The sequence below is a fragment of the Homo sapiens genome, chromosome 2, assembly GCF_000001405.40.
Source record: "Homo sapiens chromosome 2, GRCh38.p14 Primary Assembly".
Lineage (NCBI taxonomy): Eukaryota > Metazoa > Chordata > Mammalia > Primates > Hominidae > Homo > Homo sapiens.
In genome coordinates this window covers 111,003,209-111,015,915 of record NC_000002.12, presented here as the reverse complement: position 1 = coordinate 111,015,915, position 12,707 = coordinate 111,003,209, and the positions used below count along the sequence as shown (strand labels likewise).

The window sequence follows — 12,707 nt, the reverse complement described above, 5'->3', positions numbered from 1 at the left end:
CCCCTCACTGAATGGCACATAAATGGAATTATACAGTATTAACTATTCTGTGTCAGGCTTCTTTCACTAAACATAATGTCTAAAATTCACATATGTTGTTCCATGTGGCAGCAGTTTATTCATTTTTATTGCCAAGCAGTATTCCAATGTATGACAGATATCACAGTTTATTTATCTAGTGTCATGTTGAACATTTGGCTTCCTGTTTCTGGTTTTTGGATATTATTAATAAAGCTGTTATGAGCATTCCTGTACAAGTCTTTTTGTGAGAATATATTTTAATTTCTCTTGGCCAAATATCTAGGAAGGGAATTGCTGGCTCATAGTATAGGTGTACTTTTAACCTTATAAGAAACTGCCACTCTGTCTTCCAGAGTGGTGATTACCATTTTAGATTTCAGATAGCCATTATGAGAGCTTTGGTTGCTTTGTAGCATTGCCAGGATGGAGTGTTGTCAATCATTTTAGTTTAATCATTTCAGTGGGTGTGTCGTGGTGTTTCACTGTGGTTTTAATTTCCATTTCTGGGATGACTAACACAAATTAGGCAAAGTTGCATGTGCTCATTAACCATTCTTTTATATTCTTTTATGAGATATCTTTTAAAGCTTTTTGTGCAATTCTTCCTGGGTTGTATCTATACATTATTGCATTGTAGGTATTCTTTATATATTCTGGATAGAAGTGTTTTGCCAGATACAGGTATTGCAAATAATTTCTCCAAGGCTATGGTTTGTCTTTGTATGTTCTTAATGATATCTTTTAGAGAAGAAAAATGTTCACTTTTGGAAAAGATTCAATTTATCAAGATTTAATTTACCAATTAGTACTTTTTGTGTCTTTTTGAGAAATCTCAGTTTATGCCAACTTCCCAAAGATATTCTCCTATGTTTTCTTTTGAGAAGTTTATAGTTTTTCCCTTTTACATTGAAGTCTATGATCAATCTCAAATTAACCTTTGTGTATTATGCAGAAAAGAAGGTCACAGTTAATTTATTTTCCTTCAGATATCTAGATGTTTCCTGCACTATTAAAAAATTCTTTTCATCATTGAATTTCCTTCATACCTTTGTCAAAAAATCAAGTGAACATATACATGTGGGTCAATTTCTGGACTCTGTAGTGTTCCATTGATCTCTCTGCTTATTCTGATGCCAGTACCATGTCTGTATTATTGAAGCATTAGCACAAGCTTTGAAATCAGGTAGTACAATCCCTCTACATTTCTTCAATGTTTTTTGAAGTTGTTTGGGCTATTTTAGGCCATTCACATTTCCATGTGATTGTCAAATCAGCTTATGAGTTTCTACAAACATTCCTGCCAAGATTTTGCTTGAAATGGTGCTGAATCTATAGGCTAATTTCAGGAGGATGAACATTATGGCAATGTGGAGTTTTCCCATACACAAGCACAGCATACTACTCCAGTTACTTAGGCTTGCTTCAATTATTCCTTGGGTGTTACGTAGTCTTTAGTGTACAGATATTGCATGTTTTGGTTTTACTATTAAATGTGTTCCTAAGAAACTCATGTTTTTAGATGATATTGTAAATTAAATTTTATTTTCCAATTGTTTGATAACATATAAAACAAAATTCGTTTTAGATATTGAGTTTGTGTCCTGTAGCCCTGTTTTGAGCTATTAGTTTGGTAAATTCTTCTATTTCTTTTTTCCTGTCTCGTTGCACTGGCTAGGCCCTCCAATACAATGTTAAATAAAAGTAGTAAACTGGACATTCTTGCCTTGTTCCGTCTTTAGGAGAAAAGTGTGTAATATTTCACTATTAGGTATGAGGTTAGCTGTAGGTTCTTTTGTAGATATACTCTCCAAAAATTGAGGAAATTCCTTTCTATTTCTGCTCTGCTGAGACTTTTCATCATCAGCTCATGTTGGATTTCATCAAATATATTTTCCCCATAATATAATCATATGCTCTCTCCTTTGTTAGTATTGTATATTTTATTGACATGTTTTGACTATTAAACCAACCTCGCATTCTTATAATAAACACTACTTTGTTATGATGTATTCTATTATGTATTTTCACCTATATTCGTGGAGAATATTTGTTTGTAATTGTTTTCTTTGTACTGTACTTACTAATTTTGGGTATCAGTCTTACACTGGTTTTTGAAAGAGTTTTATGTAAGACTGATACTATTTTGTCTTTAAATGTTTGATAGAATTCAACAGTAAAACCATCTGGACCTGGAGCTTTCTTTGTGGGAATGTGTTCATTACAAATTAAATTCATTTTGACTGAAACGTTGTTGTTATGGAATAAAATAGAAAAGAAAGAAAAGAAAAGAAAAAAAGCGAATTAAATTCATTTAACAGACATTTTTAGATCTTCCTTTTCTTTTACTTCTTTTTTTTTTTTTTTTTTTTTTTGAGACAGGGTCTCCCTCTGTCACCCAGGCTGGAGTGCAGTGGGGTGATCTCAGCTCACTGCAATCTCTGCCTCCCAGGTTCAAGTGATTCTCCTGCCTCAGCCTCCCAAGCAGTGGGATTACAGGTGCCCGCCACAACACCTGGCTAATTTTTGTATTTTTAGTAGAGACAGGGTTTCACCATGTTGGTCAGCTGGTCTCAAACTCCTGACCTGAAGCAATCCACATGCCTTGGCCTCCCAAAGTGCTGGGATTACAGGCATGAGCCACCGCACCTGGCCCCCATTTTTTTTGTTGTTGTTAACTTTTGAGAGCTGTATTTTTCCAGGAATTTATTCTAAGTTACTGAACTTGTTTGCATTAAGTTGTTCATAATATTCTCATATTGTATAATGTCTGTAGTATGTGGTATGACATTATAATATCCGCTTTCATTCTTGACGTTGTTAATTTGTACTTTATCTTTTTTTCCTGATCAGTCTTGCTAGGGATCAAGAAATTTTATTAAACATTTCAAAGAACAAACTTTTGGGCTTATTGATTTGCTCTATAGTTTGTTTTCTATTTCATTATCTCTCATCTTTATTGTTACCTTTATTCTACTGATTTTGCTCTTCTTGTTCTAGCTTCTTAAGGTAGAAACTTGCATCATTTATTTAAAACCTTTTTAAAAATATTTTCTAAGATAAGCATTTCAAGCTATGAATTTCCCTCTAAGGATCCCTTTTACTGCACCTCACAAAATTTAGTATGTTGTGTTTTCATTACCATTCAGTTTGAAATATTCTCTAATTCCCCTTGTGATTGCTTCTTTTATTCACAAGTTATTTAGACCTGTGTTTCTTAATAGCCAAATATTTGGAAGATTTTCCAGATATCTTTTTGTTATTAATTTGTAATTTAATTTCATTGTCAACATAGAATACACTCTGCATTACTTTAATCTTTTTAAGGATTATTGAGATTTGTTTTATGGCCAGCACTGTAGCTCTGGGTGTAGTTTTCAATAAATGCCTACAAATATCAAGAAGATTGAATTAGATGACAGTGTTATTCACATCTTCTATACAGGCATACCTTGGAGATACTGTAAGTCTGATTCCAGACCACTGCAATAAAGCAAATATGTCAATAAAGCAAGTCACACAAACTTTTTGGTTTCCCAGTGCACATAAAAGTTACATTTACACTATATTCTACTAAGTGTGCAATAACGTTATGTCTAAAAAAAGTAGGCACCTCAAAAAAATTATTTATTGCTAAAAAAATTCTAACAGAGTCATGAAGTGAGCATATGCTGTTGGAAAAATGGCACCAAGAGGCCAGTTTAACACAGTGTTCCCACTAACTTTTAATTTGTAAAAAACACAACATCTGCAGTATGCAATAAAACAAAGCACAATAAAATGAGGTATGCCTATAGTCATATTACATTTTTACCTACTTATTTCATCAATTACTGAATTTGTCTATTTCTTCCATGGTTCTGTCAATTTCTGTTTCATGTATTTTTAATCTCTATTATGGAGTATACCTGTGTAGAATTATTTTGTCTTCTTGATGAAATTATCCTTTAATAATCAAAAAATGACTTTCTTTATCCCTGGTAATACACTCCTTTTTTTTTTTTTTTTTTTTTTTTAACAGAGTCTCACTCTGCTGCCCAGGCTGGAGTGCAGTGGTGCAATCTTGGCTCACTGCAACCTCCACCTACTGGACTCAAGTGATTCTCATGCCTCAGCCTCCCAAATAGCTGGGATAACAGCTGTGTTACCACCACACCCAGCTAATTTTTGTATTTTTAGTAGAGACAGGGTTTTGCCAGATTGGTCAGGCTGGTCTCAAACTCCTGGGCTCAAGCGATCTGCCCACCTTAGCCTCCCAAAGTGCTGAAACTACAGGCATGAGCCACTGCACCTGGTCCCTGGTAACATTCCTTGTTTTAAAGTTTCCTCTATCTGATATTAACATAGTCTCTCTCATGCTCAGTAATTGCATGCTATATCTTTTCCTGTCCTTGTCTTTCCATTCAAAGCATATGGAAGACCCTTGCTTATTTTTAACCTTCTATAACAATGTTTGCCTTTTAATTAGAATATTGGGGCCATTTACATTTAATGTAATTATTGATATTGTTGGGTATAAGTCTGTCATACTGCTATTTGTAGTCCTTCTCCTTTGATTTTTGTTTCTTCTTCCATGTCTTCTTTCAGATTAAGGGTTTTCCTTTTTGTCTCAGTCTACTACCTCCTATATTACAATCTATAGTCTTTACCTATAACAGTCTGCTTTGAATTAATATGATACTACTTCATATATTATGTAAAAATCTTATAATAGCATAATTCCATTTACACTACAACCTATCTTTTACATTATTTTTGCCATACATTTCACTTTTATATATGCCATAAACCCTAAATAATTGTAATTATTTTGCTATAAACCATCAATTGAATTCAAAAAGGCTTAAGACAAAAAAAGTAGTCCTTAATAGTTCCTTATATGTTTAGCATTTTCAGTGTTCTTCCTTACTTTAGATCTGCATTTCCATTTACTTTCATTTTGTTTAGCTTAAAGTACCTTCCTTAGCATTTCTTGTAGTATAGGTCTGTTGGTGACAAATTCTATTACTGAAAATGCTTTTATTTCATTTTAATACATACACATATGCACACACGACTGGATTCAGAGCTCAAGGTAGATTCTTTTTTGCTTTCAGCAGCACGGTAAAGATATCTTTCTATTGTCCTTTGGCTATACAATTTCTAATGAAAAGTGAACCATCATTCTACCATTATTTCTTGCATCTAATGTTCTTTGTTCTCTTCTAACTTTTAAGATTTATTCTTTATTTTTAGTTTTCAGCAATTATACTATGATGGGCTCTTATTTTTATATTTGTTTGTTTTTCATCCTCTCCTGCTAGAATCTTGAATTTATGTGCTGTCATTATTGATAAAAATTTAAAAAATATTTGGCTAATCCTTTTTCTATGCTATTCTCTCTCTCATCTCCTTCTTAGACTCCAATTACATATATGTTAGAGTGTGTGTTACTACCCCACAGGTCATGAGGGCTCTGATTATTTTATCAATATTTTTCTTTATGTGTTTTAGTTCAAATGATTTCTATTAATCAGGTTCACTGACACTTTTCTCTTTTTGCCCAGTGTGTTGTTAATCCCATCCATTTATTTTTTTATTAATACTATTGTATTTTTCAGTTCTAGAATTTCCATTTGGTTTCCTTTTTCATATCGTTCAACAATCTCCTGAAATTTCCTCTCTCTTCATCCCTTTTATTCATATGTTCCACCTACTCTTTTATAAATTCATATTTTTTAAAAGCCCTTGTCTGCTAATTTCAATATCTGGGAATTTTGGGGTCTTCTTCTCTTGATGATTTTTCTCTTGGCTATGGATCATGTGTTCCTATTTCTTCCCATGCCTGATAATATTTAAGTATCTAGTGGACACTATAATGATACTGACCCTAAATCCTGTTGACTTCCTCTAAAGGGTATTGAGTCTTATTCTAGCATGCAGTTAAAACACTAGCAGATAAACTTGAATTTATAGAGTCTTGATTTTATGCTTTGTCAGGAAGAATATATTTTGGCTTGCCTTTAGCCTCTTTTGGTTGTAGCTTCAGTCCTTAGGCAATCCCTTTTCCTGAGACATAGTTTTACTCCTAAGGCATGAGTTTACCACATCCCTCTAACTTGGCAGGATTCAGACTAAAAATTCTGACTCCTGTGTGGTGGGCAATAGTTGAGTTCTCTGTTCTGCTCTTTAAAGCTTCCAACTTTAAAACCCCTTGAGCTCTTTGGCATCTTATCCACTCATGGATATTCCAGGGATCAGTCATGGATTTGAGTGGTATTCATACATGTATTTTGAAGCTTCCCTCTCTGCGGCTTCTTTCTTTTTGGGATGTTCCTCCTTCATTTTCACTAATCTTGGCAGTCTCAAGCTCCATTTTCTTTTCTTTTCTTTTTTTTTTTTTTTGAGACGGAGTCTTGCTCTGTCACCCAGGGTGGAGTGCAGTGGCGTGATCTTGGCTCACTGCAACCTCCACCTCCCAGGTTCATGCAATTCTCCTGCCTCAGCCTCCTGAGTAGCTGGGATTACAGGCACACACCACCAAGCCAGGCTAATTTTTGCATTTTTAGTAGAGGTGGGGTTTCACCATGTTGGCCAGGCTGGTCTCGAACTCTTGACCTCAAGTGATCTGCCTACCTTGGCCTCCCAAAGTACTGGGATTACAGACGTGAGCCACCATGCCTAGCCTCAAACTCCATTTTCTGACTCCCTAAAACAATATTGAGGCTTTCATGAAATGAGTTTATCTTTAACCTAAGTGAAGGGAAAGGCTTTTTCTGTGAGTTAAAGTCCAGATGCAATAAAAAAATAGATTACTGCATTTGACTATATAAAAAAATTTTAAAAAGTTTGCACGGCAAACATGAACAAAGTCGAAAGACAAGTGACGAACTGGGAGAAAATTTTTTCAATATGACAAAAGGCTACAATTCTTAATGTAGAAAGTACTCTTCAAAATTGATGGACCAAATACCAAAACCCTATGGAAAAATGGGAAAATAATATGAGCAGACAATACATTGAAAACATATTAAAATGACCCTTATACAGATGAAAAACTGCTCAAAAGCACTCATAATTAGAGCTACATGAAGTTACCATTGATCACCTATCAAACTGGCAAAAATTGAAAAATATTAGAACACATTCTATTGATGAGACTTTGAGGAAACAGACTTCACTCAGTGGAATGAAAACTGTACAAATCCTCTGGAGGAGAATTTGGCAATACCTAACAAAACTACAAATGCACTTACCTTTGAGCCTAACAACAACATTTCTAGAAACCTACCCTGAAGATATAATTCAAACAACACTAAAATTTATATAATAAGGTTATTCACTGTAACGTTGTTTGTAATGACCAAAGGTTGGGAGGAAGGATTAAATACACAAGAGAGGGGTGGAGTAAGCTACAGTATATCCATAACATAGATTATTCTGTGGCTGTAAAAAAATGAATGAGGTAGATCTCTATGTGTGAAAGAAATACAGGAAGGATAAGCCAGAGACTAAAGATATCTTGCCACCTACATGAGGTATGTAGGAAAAAAGGGAAGTGATGGAAAGGGGGTAGCTGGAATGAGGAAAGAGTGGTAGCTCTCTGAGTACACTTTTGTGTATAGCACTGAATATTAGAAACTTAGTAATATTTCGCTTAGCCAAAAAATGATTAACTAAAAGCAACCAGGATATAGAGGAAACCCAAAGTAAAATGCAAGTAGTTACAAATGAACCTAACTTGTTATAAGTAATAAAACCACACCAAAAGAGGGGGAAAAAAAGGCTAATTAAAGAAACTTCGGAAATACTGTTTTGACTAGATACTGTAAGGTTAAATTCACAAAGAAAAATACCGTATTCCAGTTAGTAAATGTGTCTCTCACCAGGGTATGAGTTAGCAATTCTGAAACTACTTGTTGTGTACACAGGGGGTGAGCAAATATGTAAACATACAATAGACAATGAAAGCCAGGTTTCTGCTTTCTCATAGAAGAATGTTTGAAATAGGAAAGAGGGCAGGCTAGAAAAAAGCCCTGTTGTTTGAATTGGAATCAGAGTTATCAGTATAAACTCATGATTTCTAATATACGTGCATACAGATCTGTGTGCAAATGCGTGAGTTAATATACGTGAGTTTACTTCATAGCTTTGGGTAGGCCTAGAAGCAGCAACAACTCAGTAGCAATGAGCACACCCAGAGACCAGATGCTGGTTTTTAAATACCATTCTCTAGGAAAAAGAACCAGCTCTCCTTGGAGAAATGATTGACTGCAGGGTTGGCAGGGAAACTACAAGATGAGAAATAAAGTAAGGAAGTACTCAAAAAAGGATAGAGGCACTTCAAAGGGACACAGGGGCCAACCTGAAGGAGCTCTCAACGTTAATGCTTGGAACAATTGGCAAGAAAATAAATAAATCATAATATTGGATTGTAACCCAAAGCATAAAATAAATATCTGTGACTGCATGCTGACATAAGTCATAATTAATTGAATAAATAAATAATTGGAGAAGAGACAACTCTTGCTTCCCATTAATAAAGTGGTAGGAATGAGGAAAATAGAAAATCCCTACTAGGCAAACACCACAGTATTAATTGTTTCCAAAAAGATCCACTGATGGATACTAAAAATAATAGGTGAAAGTTTGAGGAAAAATAGGGTATCTGCATATTCAAATATCAGTCGCATCTTTGCCCTTGGTGACTGTATTGCCTTGAAGAAACCATTAGCTTTCTTGATCCTAGGTTGCCTATCTGTAAATGAGTGGGTTGCACTATGTGACTCCCAGGGTCTCTTCTAGCTCTCATACTCCCATGGGAGTGACTGTACTTTCCATGTAATTATCAGGAGTGTAACTTCTTCCTTTTCCTTATCTTTGCCTCCCCTTCCTTCTTTTCTTTCCATTCTCTTCCATAACAGGATTCCCTAGGAAGAGAATTTAAGGATGCTCTCTATGAGAAAAAAGATGGAGAAAGAAGTGAAGGAAAAAGAGAAAATGCAATTCCTAGTATTAACTGGTGTCTGGGTTGTTAGGCAGTAGAAAAGAGAGAAAGACAGCCGGGTGCGGTGGCTCATGCCTGTAATCCCAGCACTTTGGGAGGCTGAGGAGGGCAGATCACTTGAAGTCAGGAGTTTGAGACCAGCCTGATCAACATGGCGAAATCCCATCTCTACTAAAAATACAAAAATTAGCCAGACGTGGTGGCACATGCCTGTAATCCTAGCTACTTGAGAAGCTGAGGCAAGAGAATAGCTTGTACCCAGGAGGTGAAGGTTGCAGTGAGCCATGATTGCACCACTGCACTCCAGCCTGGGTGACAGAGCGAGACTTCATCTCAAAAAAGAAAAAAAAAAAAGAGGGAAACACCACAAAACAAAAGAAGAACATTCCTACAATCAGCCACAACAAAGAGGGAAGTGCCAAGCTAAGGCTTGGGAGCACTGTACTTCTGGGAGTTGGTTACAATTGGCCTCAGATGTTCCCGCTTGTACACTCCTAGGTCTCCCCAGATCGTCAGCTATCCCTTCCTGAACCATCACGCATAGCTTTCTACGACATCGTCCTTTCCCTATCTCTGGAGTTTCATGGTTTTAAGCCTAATCTCTCACTGAGTAATGGGAATATGTTTCCCCTGTACAGGACTTTCAAGCCCCAGTGAGCAAAGAGGGAACCTCACTTTTACACGAGGTGACCTTTGCACAGGCAGCCATCGATGCTCTGAAGATACAAAGAGAGCCCCTCCATCAGGTCATCTTCCTAACTCAACTCAGCCACAGGAGTAAGAAAATACATCAAGCTCAATGCAAACTGTGAGCTCAGAAAATCTGGTTACTAATTTTATTTCCTGTCTTTGATGATCTGTCTCTGGAATAAAGCTCTTGATATTTCTGTGCCATGAGATTGTTGTAAAACATCTGCCATTCAGACCGCTGTATTGGTTTTTAAAAACGTAACAAACACAGAATGGCTGCTATCACTCTCTGTTCCCTGTCCCTACCCACAATGTCTCAGAGCAGTACAAACCGACCAGCACTGGATTTTCTCTGTCTGGGTCCATCATCAATGGCACTTCTGAGTTCCTCTAGATCTAGCAGCTACCACCTGACCAAAGCTATTGGATCAAGATCCCTGATTGGTGGACATCCTATTGGTGATCTTCCAAGGCACTTGATATGTGTGTGCCACCCAATCGCCAACACAGACAGCTTGCATTTTCCACAGAAGAGAACTAAGGTGAGACTCCAAACCCCAAGCAGGTGACCTGAGCAAAGACACTGTCGGTCTAAAACTATAACAGAATAGGTGGCATCTGTTAGAAAGATAGGCTTTACAAAAGTACTGCGGTTTATTATGTTTTAAATATCTAAGTTAAGAGGTTTAAAGTCAAACACACACAAGAGTAGTCAGGTTGCACACTGACCACAACAATAAAAACTGTGGGCGGCAGTCATTTTTCTATACAGGAAGCTCTAGAAAGTTATGTTTCTAATAATCTTATTTCCAGCCTCCACCAATTCTCCATCCAAACCTCTAAATCTGAATAAGGAAAAATAACTCAGAGCAGTTGTTTCCAAAGAATTTACTGCCCCTGGATTTTGAGGATCATTAATGATGTTCATTTGCAAATGACTTGCCTTTCGCTTGGGACTCAGCCTGGCAGTGTGATGGAGGGCAACCTGTATCAGATTTTGAAAATTAGTCTTTCCCAGGTGAGTCTTATACACCCTGAAGTGGGGGACACCACCAATGTGGTGGGAGAATGCCACAGGTGATGAGAGAGAAAACAGGAATCAGCCCTTGGAGAATTAGAACTATTTTAAGTCCATCTGTATTCTCATCCTTCCATTTGCCCAATTTCTGTTAGGTACATTTGAAAATAAACAGAAATCTGTTAAACAGATTGATTACTGAGAATCTATCTTTTTCTCCATAGACTTACCTCATAGAACTACAAAAGTCCCTACCAGAATTGATATTTCTGTGCCATGAGATTGTTGTAAAACATCTGCCATTCGGGCCACTGTATTGGTTTGTAAAAACCTAACAAACACAGAGTGGCTGCTATCACTCTCCGTTCTCTGTCCCGACCCTCAAAGTCTCAGAACAGTATAAGCTGACCAGAAATGGATTTTCTCTGGTTTCATTATCAATGGCATTTCCAAGCTATTGGATCAAGATCCCTGATTGGTGGACATCCTATTGGTCCTTTTCCTATTGGTTCCTGGATGACAAGCCATTGTTTATTGGTTTATTTTTTCTTCCCACTGATGTCGAAATCATGCAGCAACTGTAATGACGAGTTGTTTGCAACAAGATTTTGGAAAACCAGGGAGTGGGGCAAGCAAGGGAAGCAAGGGGGCTGGACTCCTTCCATGGCCACCAACACATTGAAGGAAGGGCATTTCCTGGCTCCATTTTAAGTGAAATTCTGGCTACACCAAGCAGGAGAATGCATTATCAAATGATTGCAAAGGCTTATTCTTTCATGAGAACTCAATGGTCTTCTCGACTCTCCAACTTTGACCTTGGATTGCTAGCCCTTCTCACTTGCTCCCGGGTAAGGGGCAGATGGGCTTCCCATGTGCCTAGAAGGGTTTGGCCAAGCATCTCTAAAGTAAAAATGTGCTTTTGAAGAAAATTAAAGACCATTACTAGAAAGCTGAAAAGCAGGGTTCTGAGAAAACCCACTTGTGTTTTTGCCTTTTTAATTTAAAGATTCTGAACTAAATCACAGGGTTATTTTTAGAAGATCTCAGAATTCTAGATGAAATCACCCTCTCTTGGACACTGTCCAAAGACTATTGCCCAGACTCTGTTTGGGTCAGATGTTCAAATTGCTAAACAGAATCATTTTATGTCAAGATACACCAAACTAATGCAGGTAGACATGAGCCAATATACAGCTAGCTGAGCAAAAAGCCGGGCCAAAAATACAAACTAGAATGTAGAAGTCCATATTCTTTCCTCTAAGTTCGTAGGTTTTGCCTTAATTTATCATATCTTTTATTTTGCCTTGGGCTAAAACCAGAGGTGGACTTATCTTAAGGCAAGAGCATATTTTCAAAATCTTTGTGGTCTTCCCCTTCCAGGCCCTAGAAAACTATCTGTGCTTAATGAATATTTATTTGAATTGACCATAAAAATGGTTACATTAATGGTAGTAACCAAGATATTTAACACGAGTGCAAGGTTTATAATTTTTAGTGCTTTTTAAAATACATTTTATCTTAATACATCCTTGTAACAAATTTATATCATAACCTACTCTTGTTTTCCCAAATTACAGATGTGAGAACTGAAGCTCGGAAGTGGTAAAAGCTAGTTCTGTGATTCTTTTTTTTTTTTTTTTTTTTTTTTTTTTTGAGACAGAGTCTCGCCCTGTCGCCCAGGCTGGAGTGCAGTGGTGCAATCTCGGTTCGCTGCAACCTCCGCCTCCTGGGTTCAAGCAATTCTCTTGCCTAAGCCTCCCGAGTAGCTGGGATTACAGGTGCCCACCACCAGGTTCAGCTAATTTTTTTTTAATCTTTAGTAGAGACGGGGTTTCACCATGTTGGCCAGGCTGGTTTCCAATTCCTGACCTCGTGATCCACCCGCCTTGGCCTCCCAAAATGCTGGGATTACAGGCGTGAGCCACCGCACCCAGCCTAGTCCAGTGATTCTAAAACCCTTGAATTTTGTTCACCACCCCACATGCCTAACGTTTA

General features: G+C 37.0%; 1 protein-coding gene across 26 annotated transcripts in view; it reads right to left on the bottom strand.

Annotated features, from left to right (window-relative positions):
• ACOXL (acyl-CoA oxidase like) overlaps window positions 1-12,707 on the bottom strand; it is a 385,976-nt gene that overhangs the window by 102,633 nt on the left and 270,636 nt on the right. The gene's annotated exons all lie outside the window — the stretch shown is intronic.